Source organism: Homo sapiens, chromosome 9 (assembly GCF_000001405.40).
Source record: "Homo sapiens chromosome 9, GRCh38.p14 Primary Assembly".
Taxonomy (NCBI): domain Eukaryota; kingdom Metazoa; phylum Chordata; class Mammalia; order Primates; family Hominidae; genus Homo; species Homo sapiens.
Window position 1 is genome coordinate 113266666 of NC_000009.12, and position 27241 is coordinate 113293906.

At 42.5% G+C, this 27241-nt stretch overlaps 2 protein-coding genes across 13 annotated transcripts, besides 4 other annotated features; one reads left to right on the forward strand and one right to left on the reverse strand.

Annotated features, from left to right (window-relative positions):
• Positions 1–326: 326 nt before the first annotated feature.
• Positions 327–8907, reverse strand: CDC26 (cell division cycle 26). 7 transcript variants are annotated; one of them, XM_017014575.2, is made up of 4 exons: positions 8717–8907; positions 6664–6745; positions 5762–5883; positions 327–774 (listed from the first exon to the last, which is right to left on the reverse strand). In XM_017014575.2, exons 3-4 carry the CDS (start codon positions 5840–5842, stop codon positions 598–600), a joined length of 258 nt encoding a protein of 85 aa, XP_016870064.1. In that variant the 5' UTR covers positions 5843–5883; positions 6664–6745; positions 8717–8907; the 3' UTR covers positions 327–597. The 7 variants fall into 7 exon arrangements, with proteins under 7 accessions (XP_016870064.1, NP_644815.1, XP_047279101.1 ...); NM_139286.4 differs by having other exon boundaries at positions 6664–6773; XM_047423145.1 differs by having other exon boundaries at positions 8713–8907.
• Positions 8018–8873: an enhancer, noted in NCBI's record as "NANOG-H3K27ac-H3K4me1 hESC enhancer chr9:116036963-116037818 (GRCh37/hg19 assembly coordinates)". NCBI's record gives its function as "activates a minimal SCP1, AML or CMV promoter by ChIP-STARR-seq in primed H9 embryonic stem cells {active_cell/tissue: H9 hESC(primed)}" and the evidence as "EXISTENCE:reporter gene assay evidence [ECO:0000049][PMID:30033119]".
• Positions 8018–8980: a biological region, named in NCBI's record as "NANOG-H3K27ac-H3K4me1 hESC enhancer GRCh37_chr9:116036963-116037818".
• Positions 8641–8980: an enhancer, noted in NCBI's record as "active region_28836". NCBI's record gives its function as "activates an Ori minimal core promoter by ATAC-STARR-seq in GM12878 lymphoblastoid cells {active_cell/tissue: GM12878}" and the evidence as "EXISTENCE:reporter gene assay evidence [ECO:0000049][PMID:35858748]".
• PRPF4 (pre-mRNA splicing tri-snRNP complex factor PRPF4) lies at positions 8993–26240 on the forward strand. Of its 6 annotated transcripts, none has more exons than NR_136265.2 (14): positions 8993–9105; positions 9880–10060; positions 12280–12466; positions 15981–16068; positions 16467–16546; positions 16724–16817; positions 17630–17724; positions 19567–19625; positions 20040–20163; positions 21510–21599; positions 23801–23874; positions 24035–24142; positions 24233–24351; positions 24802–26240. NR_136265.2 is itself a non-coding variant. In NM_001322267.2 (14 exons), exons 8-14 carry the CDS (start codon positions 19544–19546, stop codon positions 24993–24995), a joined length of 840 nt encoding a protein of 279 aa, NP_001309196.1. In that variant the 5' UTR covers positions 8993–9105; positions 9880–10060; positions 12280–12466; positions 15981–16068; positions 16467–16546; positions 16724–16817; positions 17630–17724; positions 19528–19543; the 3' UTR covers positions 24996–26240. The 6 variants fall into 6 exon arrangements, 4 of the variants coding, with proteins under 4 accessions (NP_001309196.1, NP_004688.2, NP_001309195.1 ...); NR_136266.2 differs by having other exon boundaries at positions 9883–10060; NM_001322267.2 differs by having other exon boundaries at positions 19528–19625; positions 23801–23923.
• Positions 14624–14793: an enhancer, noted in NCBI's record as "experimental_106320 CRE fragment used in MPRA reporter constructs". NCBI's record gives its function as "activates a minimal promoter by MPRAs in K562 erythroleukemia cells, with activity observed for the introgressed 9:116043654 variant allele {active_cell/tissue: K562}" and the evidence as "EXISTENCE:reporter gene assay evidence [ECO:0000049][PMID:34662402]".

The window sequence follows — 27241 nt, forward strand, 5'->3', positions numbered from 1 at the left end:
TCCTCTTTCCTCCATTGCCTGTCCTCCCAACATTATACCCAAACTAGTTACAAAGCCATTCTGTAAAGAGATCGGGTACCTACAATTTCTTCAGATTTACACAATATCCACTAGAATTTAATTTCTACAAGGGCAGGGATCTTTGTTGAGTGGCACATGGTAGACACTCAATAAATACTTATTGAATAGATGGGTTAAGTGAAAGTGGCAGGGATCAACTAGAGTGTCCTGTGCTTAGGGTCTTTTAATAAAGATGGAAAGAATGATGTTAATCTTGTAGCAATTATCTTTTAAAGTCTGGGAATTAACAGTACTGTTATACTTCATTAAGGATGCCTCACATTTTTCCAAAAATATATTTATTTTTAAAAACAGAAAATCAGATCAGTTTTATAGAGTCAAATTTTCAAGAGACAAACCAGAGTTTGGATTCCAGCTTAGAGTGCAAGTGAAGCATCAGTAATCTCATGCAGAAGATTTGTCTCTGCAGGAGGTACATTCTGCTTGACTGCAAGCACTCAATTCTCTAAATCTGGTTTGTACTTCTGCCATCATTTTATTCCATTCCAGCGCTCTGGCATGCAAGATAATCCATCTCTAAAATTCAAGACTTCCAAATTGAGATGAACGATTATTGGGCTTGGGTTGGGGTTTATAACCAATCCGATCATTGATCATTTGTTCCCGGCTCTTGGGATCACTGCTAAGCCCAATGGCTCCTTCTCCATCACTGCCTCCTACAACTTCCACATCTTCCTTCTGTTTCTTACGGGTCTGAAAGTATAAAAGTTTTAGGATTAAGGCAACATTCTTTCAATTAGCAAATGTTTATTTAGAACACCTACCATGTACTAGGCATGGGCTAAATGATAGAGTTAGGGTGTAAAGAACAATAAACTGAAATCCTAGGTTTGGAGTACTTAGGGGCACAATGAGGATATGGTGTTAAAAGTTGTAACCCCTGATCACTTGAGGTCAGGAGTTCGAGACTAGCCTGGCAAACATGGTGAAACCCTATCTCTACTAAAAATACAAAAATTTGGCGGGGCACGGTGGCTCACATCTGTAATCCCAGCCCTTTGGGAGGCTGAGGCGAGCGGATCACGAGGTCAGGAGATCGAGACCACCCTAGCCAACATGGTGAAACTCCATCTCTACTAAAAATACAAAAATTAGCTGGGCATGGTGGCGCATGCCTGTAATCCCAGCTACTTGGGAGGCTGAGGCAGGAGAATCGCTTGAACCAGGAAGTCGGAGGTTGCAGAGAGCTGAGATGGTGCCACTGCACTCCAGCCTGGCGACAGAGCGAGACTCTGTCTTAAAAAAAACAAAAGATGTAACCCCTACCCTCCAGGATGTCACAGTCTAATAGGGAAACAGGCAAACAGACGATTATAGGGTGATCAGGGCTATGACCTATGACAGAGAGAAGTCTACACTGCCAAAGAGACAAGAGGTAAGGAGTTGGGGTGTGGTGGTACAACAGGAAGCTACAATTGGAAAGCTGTAAGAGCAGACAAGTGAGAGCAAAGGGCATTTCAACAAATTTATTATTCTAGAGAATAGAAAAATAAATTGGGTAAAGAAATAACCACCAAAAATCTATAGCCTGACTGATCCCATGAGATTAAAAGTAACTCAAGAAGGTTTTATGCTATCTTATCAAAAGGTCTGGGTTTTGTGGCTTCATTTTGTTTTCAGATAAAAGGTTTGGCTCCTAAGTCACATGTGACTGCAGAATCCAGAAAGTATGTCTTAGTTTGATCATTTTCAAAAACAGACACTTATCCCATAACAGCCACTACCTGACTGTAAGGATAACAGATGATAACTTTCTCTAAGAGAGTGAAATGATGTTTTATCCAAAGTTACTTAATAGAAGAATGGCTCAGCTACTCAAATCACTGGAATTACCACCATTCTTCACCACTTGCTGCTGAACTGTGGGCATTTAAATGCCAAGCATCAGGCTGACCGCAGTGGCTCATGCCTGTAAATCCCAGTGCTTTGGGAGGCCAAGGCGGAGGATTGCTTGAGCCCAGGAGTGTGACACTAGCCTGGGCAACATAGTGACACTCCATCTGTCTCCACAATTTTTTTTTTTTCTTTAGACTGAGTCTCTGTCTGTTGCCAGGCTGGAGTGTAGTGGCGCCATCTTGGCTCACTGCAACCTCCGCCTCCTGGGTTCAAGCGATTCTCCTGCCTCAGCCTCTCAAGTAGTTGGGACTACAGGCGCATGCCAGCACACCTGGCTAATTTTTGCACTTTTAGTAGAGACAGGGTTTCAACATGTTAGCTAGGATGGTCTCAATCTCTTGACCTCGTGATCCGCCTGCCTCGGCCTCTCAAGGTGCTGGGGTTTACAGGCATGAGCCACCGCACCCGGCCCACAAAAAAATTTAAAAATTAGCCAGGCATGGTGGCGCATGCCTGTATTCCCAGTTATTCAGGGGGCCTGATGTGGTAGGATCACCTGAGCCTGGCAGGTCAAGGCTGCAGTGAGCTGTGATCATGCCACTGTACTCCAGCCAGGGCGACAGAGCAAGACCCTGTCTCAACAATAAAAATAAAAAAAAAAAATAAATGCCAACACTCACAAAGTATTACAGGGAATAAAATAAGGTATTGCCTTTTATGTGGCAAATGACCTTCCTGATTACTAGTAAGTGATGTTAGAAAGTTCTACCTAAATACCTTTGTGAAAACAAGTTCGAAAAGGCAAACAACTCTATCATTCTGAGAATATCCAAATGGAATGAAATCACTTAAAAGGCTTCCCACTTTGAGCAACTGCTGTTTCAGAAGCTAGAGTCACAGTAGTATAATCAAACTCATGTTGGTAATAAATGAAACAGGCCAGTTTTCTACTGGTTTCACTTTAGGGCATGACTGTCCCTGCTTCCTAAGTTACTCTAAAACAAGGTAAAACCCACTAGATAACTGTCTTTAGTGGAAAGACTAACTCAATAGTGAGCTGACTGTAGAGTCAAAGTTCAGCATGCTAGCATTTTATGAGATTCGTTACAACTGAAGTTTAAGCCATACTTTAAAGCTCATGCTTAATAATATATGAGTTTTTAGAAAGCAAAAATTACGATACTTAGAGAACACTAAAGTCTCTTGGGATGAAGCAGGGGGAAAGAAATCTAAGTTATTAGTCTTAATATGAAGCATATACAATACATAATAAAGCTGTTGGTGAATATATGCAAAACGTACTGTCCTCTGCCATATAGTACAAGATACCTACTAGGACAGCAAATGAAAATAGACTTGCATTGAGCCCTCCTTTGGACCTGGTATTGCAGGGAACAGATGCAGAGAGAAATATACTAATCCCTGACTTCAAGGAGCTTATGGCCCAGTGAGGGAAAACAAAAGCAAACAGACAATTACAACAGAGAGTGACCGTGCCTATGAGAGAGGTTAGCACAGGAGGATAAGGTTGAGCCTAACCCAGCTGGGGGCTGGAAGGAGTAAGAGTTAGCCTGGCAAAGAAAAAGAAAGGGCTTTTCTGGCAAAGGGAACACTGTGTATAGGCACTGAGATTAAAGATAACCCAGCAGTGAAAGTGGAGAGATAAGCAAGGACCAGCTCACAAGGAGCTCATATGCCATGCTAGGGAATTTGGAATTTATTCTGTAGACCACTGAAGAATTTAAGTCTTATTAATGGACATCTAATACCATGTAGCAAGGCCACAGTTAAAAATACATATGGGGCCCCTACTATGAACTAGATGGTAAGAACTCAATGGTGAAGCAAACAGACATGATTTCTGCAATCAACGTCCCTAATGTAAATGATTTTACAATAAAAAAAATTGTAAATTATAATAAATGCTATGAAAAAAATATGGTGCTTTGTGAGAGCCTACAGAGATGGAGGCAGCATGGACGGGAATGACACATGAAACTTGGATACGGTCAAAAGTGGCCTCTTAAATTGAAGAGTTGACATTTGAATGAAGACTGGAAGAAAGGGAGCACTCCAGGCAGGGGGAAATAATATGTGGAAAGTCCATGGAAGTGATAAATAGATTGGCATGTTCAAGGAAATGAAAGAGAGCCAATGTGGCTAGGGTATAGAGAGCAAGGCAAAGAATGGCACAAAATGAATCTGGAGAGGCACTAGAACATACAAAATCTTGTAGGCCATGGTGAAGAATTCAGATTTTGTTATAAGTGCAGAAAACTACTGAGGAGTTTTAAACGGGAATGACAGGATTTGAAAATTTCTGAAGATCATTCTTGATACTGGATGCAGAATGCACTGAAAGAGACAAAAATGGAAGTAGAAGACCAGTTAGGATGCCACTACAATTATACAGGGAAAGACGGTTACTTAGCGCAGGACTGTAACAGTGGAGATGAAAAGGTATGGGTGGATTCCAGACATATTCTGAAGGTAGAATCAAAGGGTCTACAGACAGATCGAATATAAAGCGTAAGAGAAAGGGAGGACTCAGGAATGACTGCTAGGTTTCTGGCCTGAGGAACTGAATCAATACTGAGATGGGAAACACTGGGGAAGAATGGAAGGGACGACTGGTTCAAGGGAGAAATCAAGAGTTTTTCTCTCTTCTTTTTTTAACATGTTAAGTGTAGTAGGCTGAAAAATGGCCCCCAAAGCTAGCAGGTCCTAATCCTGGAACCTATAAATGCCTTATATGGGAAAAGGGCCTTTGCAGGTGTGACTAAATTAAGGATCTTGAGAAGGGGGGATTATCCTGGGTTAGTCAGGTGGGCCCTAAACACAATCACACATATCATAAGAAGGAGGCAGAGGAAGTTTTCACAGACAGAAAAGAAGACAATATGACTCTGGAGGCAGAGACTGGAGTGATACAGTCATGAGTCAAGGAATGCCAGCAGCCACCAGAAGCTAGAAGAGCCAAGGAATGGATTCTTCCCTAGATCCTCCATAGGGAATGTGGCCCTCCTGACACCTAAATTTCAGCCCAGCAATACTAATTTTTGGCCTATAAAACTGTGAAATAATAAATTTCTGTTGTCTTAAGCGATGAAGTTTGTGGTACTTTGTTACAGCAGCCACAGGAGACATACATGAAGTTTGAGATGCCTGTAAAGCATCCAAACAGAGATTTCAAATAAGCTGTTGGCTTAAGAGTCTGCAGTTCAGAAGTTAAAGTTATTGTGTATGTATGTGTGTGTATATACATATTTATGTATGACAGAGAGTCTCACTGTTGCCCAGTGTGGAGTACAGTGGAGCCATCATAGCACACTGTAACCTCAAACTCCTGGGCTCAAGCAATCCTCCCGCCTCCGCCTCCTGAGTAGCTCAGGCATGCGCCACCCTGCCCAACATAGAGACAAGGTCTCACTATGTTGCCCAGGCTGGTCTCAAACTCCTGGCCAGAAAATGCTGGCATTACAGATGTAAGCCACTGTGCCCACACAAGAATTATTATCTTAAATATTCCTTAAGCTTTGAAAGTTGTATTCATGGCTGGGTGCAGTGGCTCACGCGTGTAATCCCAGCACTTTGGGAGGCTGAGGTGGATGGATCACTTGAGGTCAGGAGTTGAGACTAGCCTGGCCCCAACATGGCAAAACCCCAACTCTACTAAAAATAAAAAAATGAGCTGGGCGTGCTGGCATGAACCTGTGGTCCCAGCACGCGGGAGGCTGAGGCAGAGGAGGCAGAGGTTGCAGTGGGCCAAGATCATGCCACTGTACTCCAGCCTGTGTGACAGAGCGAGACTCCATCTCAAAAAAACACAAAGTTGTATTCATACCTCCAGGTCCTTTCGAATGTTCTCAAACTCTTCAATGTCATCAAGCTTTAGCTCTAGGCGTGTTGGTTTCCGTCTCAGCATACTGAAGTCAACACTAAGGGCCAAACCCAGTGAACTATTAGCTGTTAAAAATGAAAGAGAGGAGGAAAATCTGAAGGTGATAAAGTCTCAGATACAAAACATAAAATCAATTTGCAAGCATGTATACTAAAGTGAATGGAAATATTAAAAATTTATTTGAATTTACACATAGACTTCTAAAGTCTTTTTTTTTTTTTTTTTAAGAGATAGGATCTTGCTCTTTGCCCAGGCTGGAGTGCAGTGGCATGACCTTAGCTCACTACAGCCTCAACTTCCTGGACTCAAGCAATCTTACTGCCTCAGCCTCCAGAGTAGCTGGGACTACAGGCGTACACCGCCATACCTGGCTAATTTTTGTGTTTTTTGTAGAAATGGGATCTCTCTCTGATGCCCAGGCTGGTCTCAAACTCTTGGGCTCAAGTGTTCCTCCCTCCTCATTTTCCCAAAGTGCTGGCATTATAGGCAAGAGCTACTGTACCCAGCCAACTTCTAAAGTCTTTAGGTATGTGATTATTACATTTTTGTTACATTATGGAGATCTACAGCTCTATAAAATCAAAAACTCTTTCTGTAAGAATTTAAAATAGCAAACTGCCTATAAGAGAGAAATTCTAGGCAACCATCACTTTAATCTCATGTTCCAGTCACATTCAAAGAACTACTCTAGCTAAAAGAATAAACTATCACATCTTAGTATAGTTAGAGGAAAAAGTGGACAAACCAGTGAATTTAATCTACCCTACATGAGAATTGTCAGAGATTTGTGATCACTCTTGAATGCTAAAATCAGTTTGCTAAATCTCAGGAAAACTCCAACTCACCAATTCACAGGATTATCCTCCGCGTCCAAACAGATCTTAAATGTGTACGTCATTCATTAAACAAACACTTCTTGTGTTCCAGCTACAAAGTTAAAAGGTACAGTCATAATCTGTGGGGAAAACAAAGAGAAAACTGTGATATCATGTAATGAGAACCCTGATGAGGATACTAGCACTGGCATCACACAGGCACCTAATCCAGTCTGGGCTGAGTGTGGGGTGGACAAGGATGTCAGGCAAGCCTTCCTGGAGAAAATGATGTCTTAGTTGACTTCTGAAGGTCAGGCAGAGAGAAGAATGCACAAGGAGGCTCAAGTACAGCTTTGGTAACGTAGCAAGACCCTGTCTCTACAAAAAAGTAAAAAAAATAGCTGGGCTGGTAGTGTGTACCTGTAGTCCTAGCTACTCAGGAGGCTGAGGTGGAAGGATCACTTGAGCCCAGGAGTTTCAGGTTGCCACCGTGAGCCATGACCTCACCATGAGACCCCAACTCAAAAAAAAAAAAAAAAAAAAAAAAAGGCTCAAGAGAGCATTCCACAGCCTGAAATCCCAAGGTAATACTATGTTAACAAAAACCATTTTGTTTTGTTTTGTTTTTGAGAAAACACAACCCCCCAACTGAGTTTAATATCTGTTGATGGCATCATTTGTATATTCTCCACAGCATCCCCTAGAGTGTATCTATAAAAACAGTCAGTAAATGTTTGTTGACTAGAAGGTGAGATCATTCTTGAGCACCGTGCTGTTTTTCCATTCCCATTCTTTACATTCTTATTTTAACACAAAAACCCTGTGAAGTTGACAAAATGATTCCTATTTCACACATAAAGAAGTCATCGAAGCAAGCTGTTCAGTTTGGTTAATAATTTTAGCCTCCTATAAAAATTATAAAGGTCAACATGATAAGCATTAAGTGAAAATGATGGAAGTGAAAACTCCTTGAAAGTATGTACAGATACAAATTATTACACGTATCTAGGATGAAACTAAGGACTGTGAAGTATACAAAGGAAGAAATAGTTCCTTCTCCCATGAAGCTTAGGATACTACAGGTGATATTATCAACACAAAACACTGGCACATTACATTTCAAATTCCTTTGTACTAAATCAGGCATTATCTTCTACCAGATTCCAATGCAGACAAATGGTAGAGAAAGCCAAAGTTCCAAAGAGGGAAAGAGAGGGATAGGGATACCTAAAAGGGGGAAAAAAAAATCTATACATTTTACCTTTTCTGCAAACTGCAAAAAACTGGCCACTAGGGAGCAGTATAGATTAACAGTTAAAAGTGCTGGCTGTAGAGGTTAAAGGGCACAGGTTTTAATCCCACTACACCACCGATCCTGAACAATTCGTTTCATTTCTCACTAGACCTTAGTTCCCTCATCTGTATCCTACTCTGCTGTTGTAGGAAGTCAATAACGTAATACAGAGTAAGCTCTTGGAATATTATTTGGCATTTAATAAATGTTCAATAAATAACATCTATTATTGCTGTAATTGTTCTAGGGGGTTGCATGAGGATCTGGCCAGCTAGGGAAACGTCAATATTTTGAGGATCTCCCACCGCCCATGTGGGGATAAAAACCTTATCCTGTTCGTCTCTAATGCCCCAGCATCCAGCAGGGCAGAGAGACGTACAGAGTTACCTGACACCTTCCTATCCATCATCTTACTCTCAATCTGATACAAAGACCAGGCTGAAGACAAATCAACAAAATCAGGCCGAAGCTCCTCCGCCGGGTCTTTATTTGACTTTGGCACTAGCGGGCTCTTCTAGCTTAATCTCCCGCCGCAGCCCAAATCCACCGCCGAGCCATCAAGCTCAGAGGGGGAGCCTGGGAAGACTTCCGGACCATGGAGGAGAACAGTCCTCGTCCCCTAGCTCCAGGCCTGTACCTCGGAGCCCAGGCAAGGGTTTCTATGGTAACATGGTCCTCGGCTCCAAGAAGACGTAAACGCCCCCGTACGCCCGGGGGGCACAGCGGACCCCGGAAGCCCTTGACTCGCTCCAGAGTTCAGCCCCGAGCCGCGCGAGTCGACTCACCTACCTCTTTTCAAGCCGGCCTAGCCCCTTCCCGGAACCTCGGCTCCCCCCCAACGAAACTACTGCTAAGCCAACTGGACTACACTTCCCAGACTGCTTGGAGCCTCTCTCTCCGCAGAACCTCGTCTTCCGCGAGCTTTTCCTGGAGGTTCTAGGAGGGATGCCCCTCAATGCCACGACGCCATTTCCTACTACGACTTCCATCATGCTCCGCGCCGCTCCGGGGGCGGTGACCCCTCTTGGCCCACGTCTTGTCAGTGACGCACTTCCTGTCAGTGACGCACTTCCCCTCTGCTGGGCGCGCGGTGGACGGTCTGAAAGGGAGTGTTCGGGTTTCGCTGGGGCCTCGCGGCTCCAGAGCCCAGCATGGCTTCCTCGCGAGCCTCTTCCACGGTACAGAGCCCGGGATCCCAGCTCACTCTGGCAGGGAGCGCTAAGGGGGAAGGGGATCTCTGCGGGAAGGGGCCGTTAAGGAGCGGGAGAAGGCGGTGGAGGGCTGAGGAGGAAGGCTGCGGGACTCAGCGGTGTCCTACACAGCGGACCACCGTTTTCCTGATCCCTAAGCGCTTTCGTGGACTGTAGCTTATTTGCACCTCTCCCACTACAGCCCCAAAGGGCAAGCATCTCTTCCGACTCATCCAGTAACGGTGCTCTGAAATAGGGAAGTGTCTTGGCCAAGGTTTATGCCTTTGGCAGATCTCAGAATTTTAATGAGACCTACTAACTCCTACTACCTCACGTCTAGGAACGTTTGAAATGTATACACTTGTAATGTTGTAACTTGTTATCCTTTAGCACCGCGTTGGTTATTTCATCTATCCTTAGTATTTCCCCAGTGATAAGCAGTAATCCGGGAAGCATAAAACACGAGATTGAACACTTCCAACGGAATGAAGTAAACAGATTTCAGAGCAAACCTTTCATAGGAAAATACCCGAGAGAACCTCACTAGTTTTATTAATCCCATCAACCAAAGTGAGGGACTGAAACACCCTCACCCTACCTTCACCTCCTCAAATCAATGAAGAGCGTCTTAAGTAGTGTCCAATTTGTCCTTTCAATTACAGAGGAAACAGGACTGTGAAACTCAGGGTGAGCTTCATCCTCTGGTGAAGTCCGGTAAATTGCCAAGATTAAACCTTAGTTTAATGCAGATCTTTGATTTAGCAGGCAACCAAAACTAAAGCACCCGACGACTTAGTTGCTCCGGTCGTGAAGAAACCACACATCTATTATGGAAGTTTGGAAGAGAAGGAGAGGGAGCGTCTGGCCAAAGGAGAGTCTGGGATTTTGGGGAAAGACGGACTTAAAGCAGGGATCGAAGCTGGAAATATTAATATAACCTCTGGTAAGATGCAAATTGTGAGCCCATCTTTACCTCTTTGTGTAATGAATACCTTTCTAAACTTAAATACCACAGTTTTATAATGTCAAAAAATTACAATTTTTTTTTTTTTAAACAGAGTCTCGCTCTGTCGCCAGGCTGGAGTGCAGTGGTGCGATCTTGGCTCACTGCAACCTCCGCCTCCCGGGTTCAAGCAGTTCTCCTGCTTCAGCCTCCCGAGTAGCTGGGATTACAGGCGCACACCACCACGCCCGGCTAATTTTTGTATATTTAGTAGATATGGGGTTTCACCATGTTGGTCTGGCTGGTCTCAAACTCCTGACCTTGTGATCCGCCCGCCTCGTCCTCCTAAAGTGCTGGGATTACAGGTGTGAGCCACTGTGCCCGGCAGAATTTCAATTCTTAAACTTGCAGCTATAAGGCTGTATTTTGCCTACCCCCTTATTATCATGCAGAGAGCCTTTTTCTTACAATCTGTTATATAGTTTTTCTTCTATGAGTGAGCAGTCTTATCAAAAATTCAGTGTACATTTGGATTCAGATTGATTCCATTTGTCTTCTGGAGATCTAACATAGTTCTGGCATTGGTTTGCAGCTAGAGTGGTTCATGATATTCTCCCTTTTGAAGTTTTGTAATTATTTTTTACCCAAAGTGAAATCTTTTTGTGTGTGTGTGTGTGTGTGACAGGGTCTCACTCTCTTGCCCAGGCTGGAATGCAGTGGCGTAACCTTGGCTCACTGCAACCTCTGCCTTTTGTGTTCAAGGGATTCTCCTGCCTCAGCCTCCCGATTAGCTGAGATTACAGGTGCCCGCCACCACACCCAGCTAATTTTTGTATTTTTAGTAGAGACTGGGTTTCACCATGTTGCCCAGGCTGGTCTCCAACTCCTGACCTCAAATGATCCGCCCACCTCGGCCTCCCAAAGTGCTGGGATTACAGGCGTGAGCCACTGCACCTGACTGAGCTATCTTTTTTTATTATAAAAGTAATAGTGGCCAAGCCTGGTGGCTCACACCTGTAATCCCAGCACTTTGGGAGGCTGAGAAGCGGGAGTCTGGCTTGAGCCCAGGAATCCAAGACCAGCCTGGGCAAATAGTGATACCCCATCTCTACAAAAAGTAGAAAATTAGCTGGGCATGGTGACACGTGCCTGTATTCCCAGCTAATTGGGGTTCTGAGGTGGGGGTTCAAGGCTGCAGTGAGTCATGACTGTGCCACTGCACTCCAGCCTGAACAACAGAGCGAGACCCTGTCTCAAAAAAAAAAGTTATTTTCTTTTAAAAGATCAATGTATAAATGTGTGAAGTAGAAAATCCTGTATTTTTAAAATTAATTGATTGTATATCTTTCTGAGAATTTTAATACAGCTAAAAAGTATGTAATTTTTTCCATAAATGAAAACACAATACGTAAATTGTTGTATAACCCCCATTTTTCATTTATATACCATTGAGGATATCTTTCCATGTCAGTAATGAGAGGTCTACTATATTTTAAAAATAAAATTATGCATATTTGTCCTAAGAAATTCAGACAATGCCAAAGGGCATAAAATGAAGACTCCTCTGCAGTAGGGACATCTGTCAGGTTTCTTATTGATCCTCCCACACATTTTCTAAACACATGCACTGTAGCCTAGTGACTTTTTAAACTTTTAATACTGTTTTTAAACATAACGTCACCACTGTACCTCTCATTTTTTATCACACTTGTATTTTGGTGTGGGTTTCAAAACTATTGCTAGATTATCCAGAAATCCTTATAGTTGTGGAACTCTCATTTTCCTGGTAATTATTTGCAGTTTAGTAGTTAATGATTTGTTAAGTATCCCTATACTGGGTCTCCTTTCGAGAATAAATAGCTTTGGCTGTTGTTACAATAATGTTTCTGTTACATCTTCTGGATAGACAGCCTAGTTAACTCATTTGCAAAAGATGTTCTGTACTCTTACTTGCTGGTCTCAGCCAAAGTGTGTGTTTATATAGGCACAAAGTTAATAAATGAAACAAGAGGTGGCTTGAACCATTTTCTTGCCTTTTGAAGCTGTGTCATTTAGGTTTATGTGTTTGGCATAATTTAATAAACTGAAAAACAGTAAACTATAAAATGTGTAATAGACAGTTACTTTTCCCTCAGGGCATACACAGACTGCAATTACTAGAAATTATTTCTCTCTATTTGAAGAAGATCTGCTGATGTTGCCTGTTTTCTTTTTAATAGGAGAAGTGTTTGAAATTGAAGAGCATATCAGCGAGCGACAGGCAGAAGTATTGGCTGAGTTTGAGAGAAGGAAGCGAGCCCGGCAGATCAATGTTTCCACAGATGACTCAGAGGTCAAAGCTTGCCTTAGAGCCTTGGGGGAACCCATCACACTTTTTGGAGAGGGTCCTGCTGAAAGAAGAGAAAGGTTGCCTTTCTAAATATTTACTTTTTTTCTTTATTATAATCACAGGGTTCTACTCCAAATTTTGGTTGATCATTTAGTTGAACTTTAATAGAATGTCTCAAATCATGTTAACAATATCTTACTGTGTTTATATGAGTTAGCCCATAATCTGTCTTAGGCCAATTTTTACCGCACTATTAATGTTTCTTTTTTGTGTTTGTTCGTTTTTGTTTTGTTTTGTTTTGTTTTGTTTTGTTTTGTTTTGTGTTTTGAGACAGAGTCTTGCTCTGTCACCCAGGCTTGAGTGCAGCGTCGTGATCTCGGCTCACTGCAGCCTCCGCCTCCCGGGTTCAAGCGATTTTCCTGCCTCAGCCTCCCAAGTGGCTGGGATTACAGGCACCTGCCACCACATTTTTCTTTTTTGTATTTTTAGTTATTTTTTATATTTTTGTATTTTTAGTAGAGACAGGGTTTCACCATGTTGGCCAGGCTGGTCTTGAACTCCTAACCTCAAATGATTTACCCACCTTGGCCTCCCAAAGTGCTGGGATTACAAGCGTGAGCCTTCGTGCCTGGCCCGTTTTTCTTTATAGACTTGGAAGAGGGTGCTAACATGCTCCCTTGCCTCCCCTCCCCAGTGCGAGTTTTGAATTGGATAAACATTTGTTGTTGGGCTTTGAAAATTGAGACATCAAATGCATTCCATATCAATGACATAGAACAATGATAAATGTTTCTTGGATTTTATTGAAGAGGGGTACCATCCTCAGATAATGCCCTCTTGTTATTTGCAGGTTGCGAAGTCTTAGTTGTGGTCTAGTCACACACAATTATGAGGAGCCCCTCTGGTCTCTCTGTCCACTGTCTCATCTACCCTTCATCATCCAGCTTGTTGGAAGGGTTTTTTCTATTACTCCCTTGAGGTCCTTACCCTTATTTACTCTTCAACCTGCTGCAAACTGACCAACCCCTACCACATTAAAATTGCTCTTTGTTAAGATCACCAATCCACCTTTACTAAGAATAGCCCTAGTATACTGCCAGCCACTCCTCCTTGAAATACTCCCTCCTTGAACTACTCCCTTTCCTTCACTCTCCTAATAACAAATCCTCTTGATTTTCCTCTTCTCTCACTAGCTAATTCTTCTCACTTACCTTCTAAACCTCTTTTTCTCTGCCTGCCCTTTACAGGCTGCCTTTTTCTCTACTTGCCCTTGGTGATCAGCTCTACTCCCATGGCATCATTCACTGTGTGTTCTGATGATTCCCAAATCTCTCACTGCAGCTTAGGTATCCCACAGGTACTTCAAACTTGAGACATCTGAATTGAAATATTTCCCCACCTCTCTCCTATACTCATACAATTCTTAGTTGAAAATCTGCCTAGCCTCCTTTATAATCCATTAGCAAAATCTGGTCTGTTCTACTTGCGAGATACAACTCCAGCTATCTTCTTTGCTCTATCTTTACTGCTTTCAAATCTGCACTGTTGTGATAGCCCCAAACATGTTGTGTTAATTGCTTGCTTAAAATCCTAGATTGTCTTCTCATACTTGGAGTAAAAAACTCTTACCATGGTCTGTAAGGTCTTCAGCCTTACTCATGTCTCCCTTCCCCAATTTACTAGAATAGCCACATTGGTCCTTATGGAATATGCTAGTTCTTTTTATGTCTTTCCACATAATTGGTCTACTTTTATTCTTCTGTCTTGTCTTTTAGAGGCTTTTTTTCTTCCTTTTTTTTTCTTTGAAACGGAGTCTCGCTCTGTCACCCAGGGTGGAGTGCGGTGGTGCAATCTCAGCTCACTGCAACCTCCACCTCCCAGGTACAAGCCATTCTCCTGCCTCAGCCTCCCAAGTAGCTGGGACTACAGGCATGTGCCACCATGCCTGGCTAATTTCTGTATTTTTAGTAGAGACGGGGTTTCAACACGTTGGCCAGGTGTTGAACACCTCCTCAAGTGATCCTCTCAACACCTCCTCAAGTGATCCGCCTGCCTGGGCCTCCCAAAGTGCTGGGATTACAGATGTGAGCTACCGCGCCCGGCCTTTCTTCTTCATTTTTTATTAACCTGGATCCCTGTCAAACTTCTTATTCTTTCGTTTCAGCATAGATGCCACCTATTCAAAGAAGCCTTTCGTCACACCTAACCCCTCTGTTCTCTGTCATAGTATGTTATTTTATTAGCCTTTTCAAAGGGTATACTTTTTTATTATTGTTTAGTTTGTTTTTTCCACCAGCAAAGTCTATCTTATTCATTATTATGTTCCTTAAATGAATCCTTTGAGTCACTACTGCTACTATCTGAATTTCAGTCCACGGTTGTGACTCAGAGCGTCACTACAACAGTACTGTCTGATTTCCCTGCCATTATTCTTCCCTTTTAATCCATTCTTTGTACTGTTTCAGGGATCTTTCTCATCTGTAAATCCTCCTGAGCGTGGCATTAGCAATTCTTTGTGACCTGGCTCCTCCTTGCATTTGCAGCCCTATTCTTCACCAGTCCTCTTCTATGTTCTACGCTCCAGCCATATTGAATTATTTGTGACTGCAAGCTCAACATGTTTTTCTTACCTCCAGGCCTTATTTGTTTAACCCTCTGCCTGACATTTTCTCATTCTTGACCCCCTTGACCTGATTAACTGAGGACTCAATTTACATATTACCTTTTTTTAATGAAGCCTTCCCTGATCCTCTAAGCTTAGTTAGATGCCCGTTACAAAGTCCCCTCTAGCCCTCTGTGCTTACTGCTATAGTGATAGGTAATATAATGGATTATAGTTTGCCAGTACTCTCTGTTGTTTCCCCAGGACTAAGCTACTTGAAATCAAGAACTGATTCCTAGTCATCACTGTATAGTTAGCACCTGAGTCAGTATCCAGTACATTGTGGCACTGAGTGAAAGTTGGCAGTCTTCACAGACCAAGTGGTAGCAGTGTAGGGGCTCATTGACTCTAAACTGTATAGAGTAATTGCTTATAGTTGAATTTTGGAAATTTCCAAATAGAGAAGACTGAGTGGGAGAAACCACACTGGGAGTTTAGCCATCCCCACTTGACTCTTAAAGAAGGTTCCTGGAGGGCCGGGTATAGTGGCTCATGCCCGTAATCCCAGCACTTTGGGAGGCTGAGGCAGGAGGATCACTTGAGCCCAGAAGTTCAAGACTTGCCTGGGCAACATAGCAAGCCCTTCTCTCTACAGAAAAATTTAAAAATTAGCCAGTTGTAGCAGTGTACATGTAGTCCCAGCCACTCGGGAGGCTGGAGTGGGAGGATCGCTTGAGCTCAGGAGGTTGAGGCTGCAGTGACCCATGATCATGCCACTGCACTCCACCCTGGGCAACAACAAGACCTCATCTCTTAAAAAGAAAAAAAAAAGGTTGCTAGGTGGTTTGAACAGTGAGAGAATAGTAAAGGCTTGCTCCCATCTTAGGGGAACTTTAATAACAGTGTTTAAAACTGTGTTAAAGTGTACTTTAAAAACAGTATTATCTCAACCATGTTTAAATTCTGATCTTTTTTTTTTTTTTTAACAGGTTAAGAAATATCCTCTCAGTTGTCGGTACTGATGCCTTGAAAAAGACCAAAAAGGATGATGAGAAGTCTAAAAAGTCCAAAGAAGAGGTAGAACATGTCTTTAACTTCACAGTATAAACATGAAGGAAATGAGGGGATAGGTCTCTCGTTTTCTGCTTTCAATGGTTTGTTTTGCTGAGATGTTGGGGGAAATGTTTTTGAAGGCTCTACCATTCAAGAAGAGTTGCTGGCAGTAGTTTTGGTTCCTTTGTAAGTATGAATGGAGCTAAGTGAGTTTTCCAGTCAGGAAAGAATCATGGCATTCCTGGTATAACCATGTAGTTACATATCATAGAAAAAAATTCAGTAGAAAGTCCTCTGCCTGATTTCATCCTATTACCGAATGAATTCACCTTCCTTCTGGGCAGTTAAAATGGAGAAATGACAGTTATAAGAGGAGTAGAATGCTTCAGATTTGACCTTTCTGCTCTTAATTTGCCTTTCAGTATCAGCAAACCTGGTATCATGAAGGACCAAATAGCTTGAAGGTGGCAAGACTATGGATTGCTAATTATTCGTTGCCCAGGTAAAGAGAGCCTCCAGTAGAAGAAAGAAGCATATTTTTTGTGTGTGTTTCCTCTCAGGAACTGAGTGCTGGATAATGACTATGGTTGTTAAATGAAATTGAGGGGTAGAGTAGGGATACATGTGGGTCCTTGTTTACAACCCTGTTGCTCCTGGTGATGGTGTTTCTGTGTCGCAGGGCAATGAAACGCTTGGAAGAGGCCCGACTCCATAAGGAGATTCCTGAGACAACAAGGACCTCCCAGATGCAAGAGCTGCACAAGTCTCTCCGGGTAAGATGCTCCCAGCAATTGTCCCACATCTTAAAGGTTCTTCATGTTTATTTGATTTTTCTACTTTGGCTCACCTCTGGGAAGGTAGAGGCAACTAGAGTGATTCCTCCCTGCTTAAGTTGAGCTGCTGTGACATGGAAGGAGCCATCAGTTAATGTGGCAGGAGCTTACTGTGCTTTGTATTCAGCAGAGGCCTATGGTTCTATTCTTTATTTCTCCCCGTTAATATGTCAGAGTTTCTCTGGGGTTTTCTGTTTATATTTAGCTGACTCAGAAGTTGTGATCCTAAGACTGTAGAAAACATCTGGGCACAGTGGCTCAGTCCTGTAATCCCAGCATTTTGGGAGGCAGAGGCAGGCGGATGACTTGAGCCTCAGGAGTTTGAGACCAGCCTGGTCAACATGGTGAAACCCTGTCTCTACTAAAAATACAAAAATTTGCCAGGTGTGATAGCATGTGCCTATAATCCCAGGTACTTGGGAGGCTGAGACGGGAGGATTGCTTGAACCCGGGAGGCGGAGGTTGCAGTGAGCCAAGATCACGCCACTACACTCCACCCTGGGCAACACAGCAAGACTCTGTCTCAAAAAAAAAAAAAAAAAAAGACTATAGAAAACAGCATGCTGGAGTTTCATATAACTTCATTTATCAATGTATGTGTCTTCTAACAGCAGCAACAAAACCATAGAAGAATCTTGGGATGGGTTAAAACTGAAAAGCTGCTTTGTTGTTCTTTTTATGGTGGAAAAGCAAAGGAGCTCTTAGATTAACCTATTAATGATCACCGTGTGTGTATTTTTTTTCTTTTTAAGTCTTTGAATAATTTTTGCAGTCAGATTGGGGATGATCGGCCTATCTCCTACTGTCACTTTAGTCCCAATTCCAAGATGCTGGCCACAGCTTGTTGGTAAGTTCCATTTTACAATGACATTTTTTCCTAAATGGGGAACAGGCTCAGGAAGAAAATTAGCATTTGCGTTAGACGTCTATTTCTACGTCCTCTTTCTCTGCTTCTCATGATCACACCAAACTACAGATGTCAGTCAGTGCTCTACCTGTTGTATAATACAATGTAGCCTTGGTTTAGCCGTTCTCGCTCTTCACCAGTGACCCCAGAGATCCATTACACAAAGCACTCTGTCACATTCTTGACACTAGTATTTTGGAACAGGTCCTGTAGTGAGTTTATAGACCAACTAGTATCCATAACTCAGTCTGGCTTTTCTTTTTCAGTTATGTGACCTCGCTAAGATACTTAATTTCTGTAAGCTTCAGTGTTCTTACCTGTAAAGTGGGATGAGGTAGTGTTTGCAAGGCATTTTGCCTTGACAGTGCCTGGTATGTAGTAAGGACTCGTTAAACGTTAATTATTGGTTTATCTTTGTTTTATTTTCTTATCACCACATATGCAGAAAACTCAGGATGTGGTAACTTTGTTGTTTTGTTTGAGTTTGGTTGTGTTTTTCTGTGGGACATGGCTATCTAATGAGAAAGGAAACTTAGATTGAATACACAGGAGCTACTTGACTAGGCTGACCTTTAGATGGGTTCAGGAGAAAGCCAAGGTTCTGCACAAATGAGTCCACCTCTCCAAGCCTCATTACCTTCACTATAAAGTTTGATCGTTCCTGCCGTACCTGCTTCACAGGTCTGTTAGAAAGATCATCCGAGATAATAGATATAAAAGTAATTTGTTGAAAAATTTCCAAAATAAGAAGTCTCTAAAAAGTTTAAGGCCAGCCAGCCATGGTGGCTCACACTTGTAATCCCAGCACTTTGGAAGGCCACGGCAGGAGGATCACTTGAGCCCAGGAGTTTGAGACCAGGCTGGGCAACAATAGTGAGACCCTGTCTCTACAAATTTTTTTTTTTTTTTTTTTTTTTTTTTTTTTTTTTTTTTTTTTTTTTTTTTTTGAGACGGAGTGTCACACTTTCGGCCAGGCTGGAGTGCAGTGGCGCGATCTCGGCTCACTGCAAGCTCCACCTCCTGGGTTCACGCCATTCTCCTACCTCAGCCTCCCAAGTAGCTGGGACTACAGGCACCCGCCACCGCACCCAGCTAATTTTTTGTATTTTTAGTAGAGACAGGGTTTCACCGTGTTAGCCAGGATGGGCTCGATCTCCTGACCTTGTGATCTGCCCGCCTTGGCCTCCCAAAGTGCTGGGATTACAGGTGTGAGCCACAGCGCCTGGCCCAAAAAATTTTTAAAAATTTATTTAATTTTTTAAAACGTTAGCCAGGTGTGGTGGCATGCGCCTGTTAGTCCCAGCTACTCAGGAGGCTGGGTGATAGAATTGCTTGAGCCTGGGAGGTTGAGGCTGCAGTGAACTGTGATCACACTACTGCACTCCAGCCTAGGTGACAGAGTGACACTGTTTCTCAAAAAAAAAATTTAAATACTTTGTAATCAGCAAAATACTATTCATATTTAAGGACAGTATCACTATTAATATTCGTATTATTGGATAGTTTAATTTGCCCCACCTTCCCTCACAAGTGGATCCAAAAGTTAAGGAGAATGGCTACTGGTGTAGTGTTAATTATAGTCCAGTAAAAGCCTCTGGTTGCGTGTGGGCTGGAGGTAGCTTTTTCTTCTATAACCCTTCTAACTATAAGGCTTTTATTTTTCTGTCAGCCATTGTAAAGTTTATTGGGGGTGAGAAGAGATTGTCCTTTAGTAATATTACCAAGGTACCTTTTCCTTCCCAGACCAACCCTGGCTGAGATGCTTTCCTTTGTATTTGATAGGAGTGGGCTTTGCAAGCTCTGGTCTGTTCCTGATTGCAACCTCCTTCACACTCTTCGAGGTAAGTTAGAGTCTTATCCAAATCTCGGTCTTTTTCCCAGTGTGAACTCAGTTAAGCCTTAAACTCTGCTTGACACTCAGACCCCATACACACAGCATTAATCCTTGATTTGATTTGACTTGGTTTTCTCTGGCTGCAAGACTGGACTATCACAACTTCCTACACATCCACTTTTCTCTCATGTGCAGTCACACTCTGGCATTTTATAATCTCTAAACCAAAAACCAAAATGGGTTTTTTTGTGTTTTGCTTTTTTAAAAATGTAATTTAAATATTAGCTTAAATTAAAATAGTTCATGTTTTAATAGTTGAATAGTCACTTGAATACTCTGTATGTCCACATGTTCCCTAGTATATAACATGGGTTATAAAGAGGCAGGAACCTTTTAACTTGCATCTCTTACACTCCTTTAGGGCATAACACAAATGTAGGAGCAATTGTATTCCATCCCAAATCCACTGTCTCCTTGGACCCAAAAGATGTCAACCTGGCCTCTTGTGCGGCTGATGGCTCTGTGAAGCTTTGGAGTCTCGACAGGTGAATATCACTGTTCTGTGGCCCATACTGCCATCACTAAAGTAGATGTTTGATTGGTTGGTCCCCAGGACCTCAGTAAAAATCTGGCATTTAGGCCATGCGCAGTGGCTCACACCTTAAGGCTGAGGCAGGAGAATTGCTTAAACCCGGGAAATGGAGGTTGTGGTGAGCCGAGATTGCACACTGCACTCCAGCTTGGGTGACAGAGCAAGACTCCGTCTTGAAAGAACAAAAAAAAAAATCTGGCATTTAACCCCCAAGATGGTTTAAGAGTCAAGGTAACCTAGTGTGAAAATGAAGTAAGTGGAAGATTTCATTCTTAGGCCTTTTCTTACTAAAGGAGTTATGTCCGTTTTTTCTTACCTGTTAACTTTGGATCTTGATTTTTGTCTATAGCCTAGTGACCACTATTTCCTAGCTCCATTTATTCCAGAAAGATCCAGCCTACCTCCTACATGATAAATTAACAATGAACTAAATATAATATTCTTGGCAGTTCGTTGGTTCTTAGCAAACAGCCACAGGGGAGAGGAAAGTGAGGTTCTGTCTAGCAGTATTACCACGGAGATGTCTCCTCGCAATAGCATCATCCTTTACCTAGAATGTATTTTCCAACTACAACAGTTTTTAAAAATGTGTTTATGTGATTGTTTTCCAAAAAAAAAAAAACTTCGGAAGCACCCTGTTGGCCAAAAGGCATCTGAATTTAATTGTTTAGTTTTCTTTCTTTGGGAAAACACATGAAGGTTTTTACTTGAGAATTTTTATGAGAGCTAATTAATGTCTTCACTCCTCACCAGACAGGGTCTCACTTAGGAGCGCAGTGAGTTTTAATTGGCTTTGGTAATACTTAGCAATGTTTATTCCCCTTGGGCTTTGGCTTGTTCTGTGTATGCACATTGACAAAGTTCCCTTTTTAATTGCGTTCCTTAGAGTTCATGTTTATTTCCTTTTGCTGATGTTCAGATCTTTTGGTGGTTGCTGGGTAGCAGAATTTAATGGCCACCAAAAGGAGACTAAGCCTCATCTCTATTTAGGAGTTCCTTTTTCATTTGGATCTTGGAACAGGCCTAAATTTGAAAAAGGTTTATCTGTAATCCACTTGTACCAAAACTATGTGATTTCTGTGTCCTTATATCTCTTCCAAAGCATGTTTTCTTTCTAGAATCCAGGTACTCCTTTGGTGCAGAATGACTATTTTGCTTATTGGGCCAAAGTAGTTTACAAGTGTAGTTACAATTTAGCCTCTCGTGTTGTACAGAATGGGTATGTCTGCACAGAAGGTAAGCAGTTTTGTGACTATTTATATGTCTATAAAATTGTTTATATGTTTGGTTCCTTTCCAGTGATGAACCAGTGGCAGATATTGAAGGCCATACAGTGCGTGTGGCGCGGGTAATGTGGCATCCTTCAGGACGTTTCCTGGGCACCACCTGGTGAGCCATCCTGTTATTGTTTTATCCATATAGGCCTGTAGCATCTTCTTAACCCTTTATGGCTATCTGCCAGGTAAATTTTTAGAGCAGAGATCTTCAGGTAGGATTTTCTTGGGCTGCAGGGAATTGGAATCAGAGGAGAATGTTTAATATAGTGAGAGCTAAGTATATTTGCCTTTTTTTTTTTTTTGAGGTGGAGTCTCACTCTGTCACCCAGGCTGGAGTGCAGTGGCGCGATCTCGGCTCACTGCAACCGCCGTCTCCCGGGTTCAAGCAATTCTCCTGCCTCGACCTCCCGAGTAGCTGGGACTACAGGCGCGTGCCACCATGCCCAGCTAATTTTTTTATTTTTAGTAGAGACAGGGTTTCACCATGTTGGCCAGGCTGGTCTTAAACTCCTGACCTCAGGTGATCTTCCCGCCTCAGCCTCCCAAAGTGCTGGGATTATAGATAACAGGTAACGCGCCCAGCCATATTTGCCTTTAAATTACAATTAATCTGAAATTTCAGAGTTACAAATTACCAGAAAACAAGGATTTTCACTCTTGTCCAATGCTACAGGTATATAAGTCTCCCTTCCTGGTTCTGTAAGTTCAGGGAGGCTAGAATCTGTTAGAGAACTTTTCCATTAAGTTATAATTTACATACAATGGAATGGATTTATTTTAAGTGTACAATGCTGTCAGTCTTTACAAACGCGTACCATTCCTGTGATCGACACCTCTGTCAATATAGAGAATAGTCCATCACCCCAGAAAGGTCCCTCATGCCCTTTTCCAGCCAACTCCCCCTTCTAAAGCAACTGCTGATCTGACTTCTATCACCACAAATTAATTATGTCTATTCATACTGTGAATTCATTTGTGGCAGGCTTCTTTCAGCATAACATTGTTAAGAGTCATTCATGTTGTTGCATGTATCAGTAATTCCTTTTTATTGCTGGGGGTTATTCATTTTTATGACTGTGCCATAGTTTATCCATTCTCCTGTTGATGGACACTTGGGCTGTTTCCAGGTCTGGGCCAGTCAGAATGAAGCTGCTATAAATATTCTTGTACCAGGCTTTTTGTGGACATGAGTACAATTGCTGGGTCATAGGGTAGAGGTATGAGATGTATATTTAACTTTTTCTAAACTCCCCACCAGTTTTCCAAAGCGGTTACACCATTTTACATTCCCGGAGTTCTGGTTACTTCACATCCCTGTTAACATTTGGTGTTGTCAGTCTTACCATTTTGCCCAATCTAGCAGGTGTGTAGTGATCTCCCGTGATTTTCATTCTTATTACCCTGATCATTATTGCTCTTGAGTGCTCTGTCATATGCTTTGCCTGGTTTTTTAAATTGTGTTTGTCTCTTTTGTCTTTATTTCCATGTGCATAGTCAGTTATACCACCTTGTATTGAAGAGACTTTCCTTTCTCTGTTGGAATTGTTTCAGTACCCTTGTTGAAAATCATCTGACCATATATGTGTGGTTATTTCTGTACTTCCTATTCTCTTCCATTGATCTATTTGTGTATGAGTGATTTTTGTATCCCCAACATCCAATTTAGGGCCTAGTAAATGTATAAATGCTTGATGAATGAAAGAATATAACAGTGGAGGAAGAAAGAAGGTAACAGAGTCTTTGCTGGGCCATTCTTGGGGAATCCTGTTATTACAATAGCCACTAGGTTGGGCATGGTGGCTCACACCTATAATCCCAGCACTTTGGAAGACCACGGTGGGTGGATCACCTGAGCTCAGGAGTTCGAGACCAGCCTGGCCAACATAGTGAAGCCCCATCTCTATGAAAAATACAAAAATTAGCTGGGCATGGTGGCGCACACCTGTAGTCCCAGCTACTCAGAAGGCTGAGGCAGGAGAATGGCTTGAACCCGGGAGGTGGAGGTTGCAGTGAGCCAAGATTGCGCCACTGTGCTCCAGGCTGGGCAACAGAGTGAGACTCTGTCTCAAAAGAAGAAAAAAAAAAAAGCCCTAGAGGTTTACAGCGATTCCATGGTTTTCAGCTAGCACCTAAGGCAGATAAGCTTAGTTGTTGAGTCATTGTTTATGTCAGAAAGGAGCTTCCTGTTAATATGGTTATATGAATAGTTTCAGAAGCATTAATAACTTAAGCTATAATGGCTTAGAATACTTTATGTGTTGTAGAAACTGAATAAATATCAGCTGGTTGATTGTTAGTGTGATTTGGTTTTAGCTATGACCGTTCATGGCGCTTATGGGATTTGGAGGCTCAAGAGGAGATCCTGCATCAGGAAGGCCATAGCATGGGTGTGTATGACATTGCCTTCCATCAAGATGGCTCTTTGGCTGGCACTGGGTAAGGCTTCTCCCATGTAGTCAGGGGCAGTTCAGTACTCTCACCTCTTACCTATACCTGCTTCCACAGAGAACTGGATTCAAAGTGTTCATTTCTAAATTATTTTCTCAGGGGACTGGATGCATTTGGTCGAGTTTGGGACCTACGCACAGGACGTTGTATCATGTTCTTAGAAGGCCACCTGAAAGAAATCTATGGAATAAATTTCTCCCCCAATGGGTAAAATAAACACACTGAATGAGGGGCGAAAAAGGGTTCTGGGTCAGTAAGTACTCTATTTCTAACTTCAATACTGCATCCAATCCACAGCTATCACATTGCAACCGGCAGTGGTGACAACACCTGCAAAGTGTGGGACCTCCGACAGCGGCGTTGCGTCTACACCATCCCTGCTCATCAGAACTTAGTGACTGGTGTCAAGTTTGAGCGTAAGCTTTCCTCCTATTTTACGTCTAAATGACACAGACAAACAGTATTGTGTTCCCGTGGAATGCAGGCCAGGCTTTAGCTTAACTGAGCAGTAAAACAGGAGAGAAATTGACCTACTGGTAAAGGAGCAAATTATAATTTCCTTCCCTCTGCCATACCCTTAGATCTGTGGGAAAGCACGCTTCTCGTTGCAGGAAGTAAAGCAGACTTTCATGAGTGCTTTGCTTCATTCTTTCCTCCATGGATGCTCTGAGCACTGAGTCCTTAATATTATTCTGAATAGATTCTCGGTCAGGGAATGAGCCAAAAGACCTTACTGTTATTTGTTCCCTTAAGTCTGTAGAAACAAGTTTTTTTAAAAATAGTATGTTTTTGCAGACTTTTGTGCTTTTGTCTTCTCTTTTGAATACTTGAATTCCTCAAGCAATTCCCCTTCTCTTCTCCTGTAGCTATCCATGGGAACTTCTTGCTTACTGGTGCCTATGATAACACAGCCAAGATCTGGACGCACCCAGGCTGGTCCCCGCTGAAGACTCTGGCTGGCCACGAAGGCAAAGTGATGGGCCTAGATATTTCTTCCGATGGGCAGCTCATAGCCACTTGCTCATATGACAGGACCTTCAAGCTGTGGATGGCTGAATAGATGACAATGGGAAAAGGACTTGAACCTCAAGCTCTCTCTAAGGAGCTGTTTTCCTCAAACGAGAAGAATTGAAGTGTTTAGTTCTATCATGTTTTCTGCCAATTACCATGCATAGACCCTCAGTAGAATTGGATTTCCATGTCAGCCCCCACTCCAGGAAGGCAGCCCAATCCCTAGGTGATGGGGAACCCCTCTCACGGTTGAAAATTTATTACCTTTTTACGCCCTGCCACGAACTGTGTAGACATTGTTTTTATTAATCTTTTGTTTGGCCGGGCGTGGTGGCTCACGCCTGTAATCCTAGCACTTTGGGAGGCCGAGGTGGGTAGATCGCTTGAGCTCAGGAGTTCAAGACGAGCCTGGGCAACATGGCAAATGCCGTCTCTGCAAAAAAATACTAAAATTAGCTGGTCGCGGTGGCTTCTGCCTGTGATTCCGGCTACTTGGGAGGCTGAGGTGGGAGGGATTGCTTAAGCCTGGGAGGCAGAGGTTGCAGTGAGCCGAGATTGCGCCATTGCACTCTAGCCTGTGTGACAGAGCAAGACCCTGTCTCAAAAAAAAAAAAAATTTGTTCGAATGCCTTATAGCCTTCCTCACAGCACCCAGGATTGTGACTGACTCTGCATTTTTAATTCTTGAAACTTGGCTTTCCATAACATGGTACATGCTTCAGGACTACATATGACCCAGAGAGCAAGGTGGCTGAACTATAGTCTGGAAGCCCTCAGGTAAAGAGGCACATCTCACCACTCATTGGTTAAACAATGCATCATAGCGAGCACTTTTCCTTTCCCTGGAGAATGGGATGTGAAGCAGTAGACCGCAGCCACGCCGATGGTTATACAGTGAAGAAGACTTCACCTCTTCCTATTGAGTTTGCTTGGAATGCTGACAGCATCAGGCAACTCTGAACTGAACATTTGCTTTGTCAGAAAATATCTTTTTTTTTACTTTGAAGTTTGGCAACCTTCATGTTACCCCAAAGCAAAACCATTGTGTCAGGAGTCAAACAAATGTTTAGAAAGCAAACATGACGTCTCTATTGTACAACCTCCTTTCTCTTGGCTGTTTAAAGGATGTACTTCGTGTATTAAAGGGTACTTTATGTTGAAGTAACGAAAAAACCCTAATGGGTGTTCCTAAACCTAAACCTTTTCTTTATTCCACATTTGCTACGGTAAAATCCTGTTACAAAACTACCCTATAAAGAATTATTTTCTATAGTTAAGCATTTTCTGAATCCTAGCCATTGGTCCATAGAGGTCTCTTTTTTTTGGTTTGGGATATAATGGATGATCTCAAATATGGATTACTCTGATTTATGTCTCCTTAGCACCTTGTTAACAATTTTTTTTAAAATAGAAGGCTGTTTGCATTTTGGGCCAGACTGCCAGTAAGCCAGGCCTGGACTCAATTACAATTCTTAACTTGTCTGTCATGCACCTCTTTTCACCTCAACTATACAGCCTCTGAACTCTCAAATTACACAGTAAATTCAAAAAAATATATAGGAATTTGGAAGAAGAAAAGGTTGTCTACAGAGGAGAGTTATTAAAGAAAGGCTTCTTGGCCGGGCACGGTGGCTCACGTATGTAATCGCTTGAACCTGGGAGGCGGAGGTTGCAGTGAGCCAAGATCACACCGTTGTACTACAGCCTGGGCAACAGAGCAAGACTCCATCTCAAAAAAACTTAATTTGCTGTTGCAGAGAGGTTGACAATGGCTTTGGTCAGCTCTATTCTGTGGACCCTGAATGTGTGATATATAGCCAAACAACTGGTTTGTTTTGTTTCATTTTGAGACAGGGTCTCGCTTTGTCGCCGAGATTGGAGTGCAGTAGTGCGAACACAGCTCACCACAGCCTTGACTTCCTGTGCTCAAATGATTCTCCTGCCTCATCCCCTCATCCTGTGTAACTGGGATCACAGGAGGATGCCACCATGCCTAGCTAATTTTTTTGATTTTTTGGTAGAGACACGATTTCACTTTGTTGCCCAGGCCGGTCTCAAATTTCTGGGCTCATGCAATCCTGCCTTGGCCTCCCAAAATGCTGGGATTACAGGCATGAGTCACTGTGCCTGACCTAAACATACTGTTTTTAATCTGATTTCAATTATAACCAAATAGTTGCATTTCCTATGTAGTTGTTCAGCTTCTGAATTCTCAGGACTACCCTCTGTTGCTCACTTCACTATTGTTCAGGTATTAATGAATTCTATTTCATAGATTATGATGAAAAGAACTTT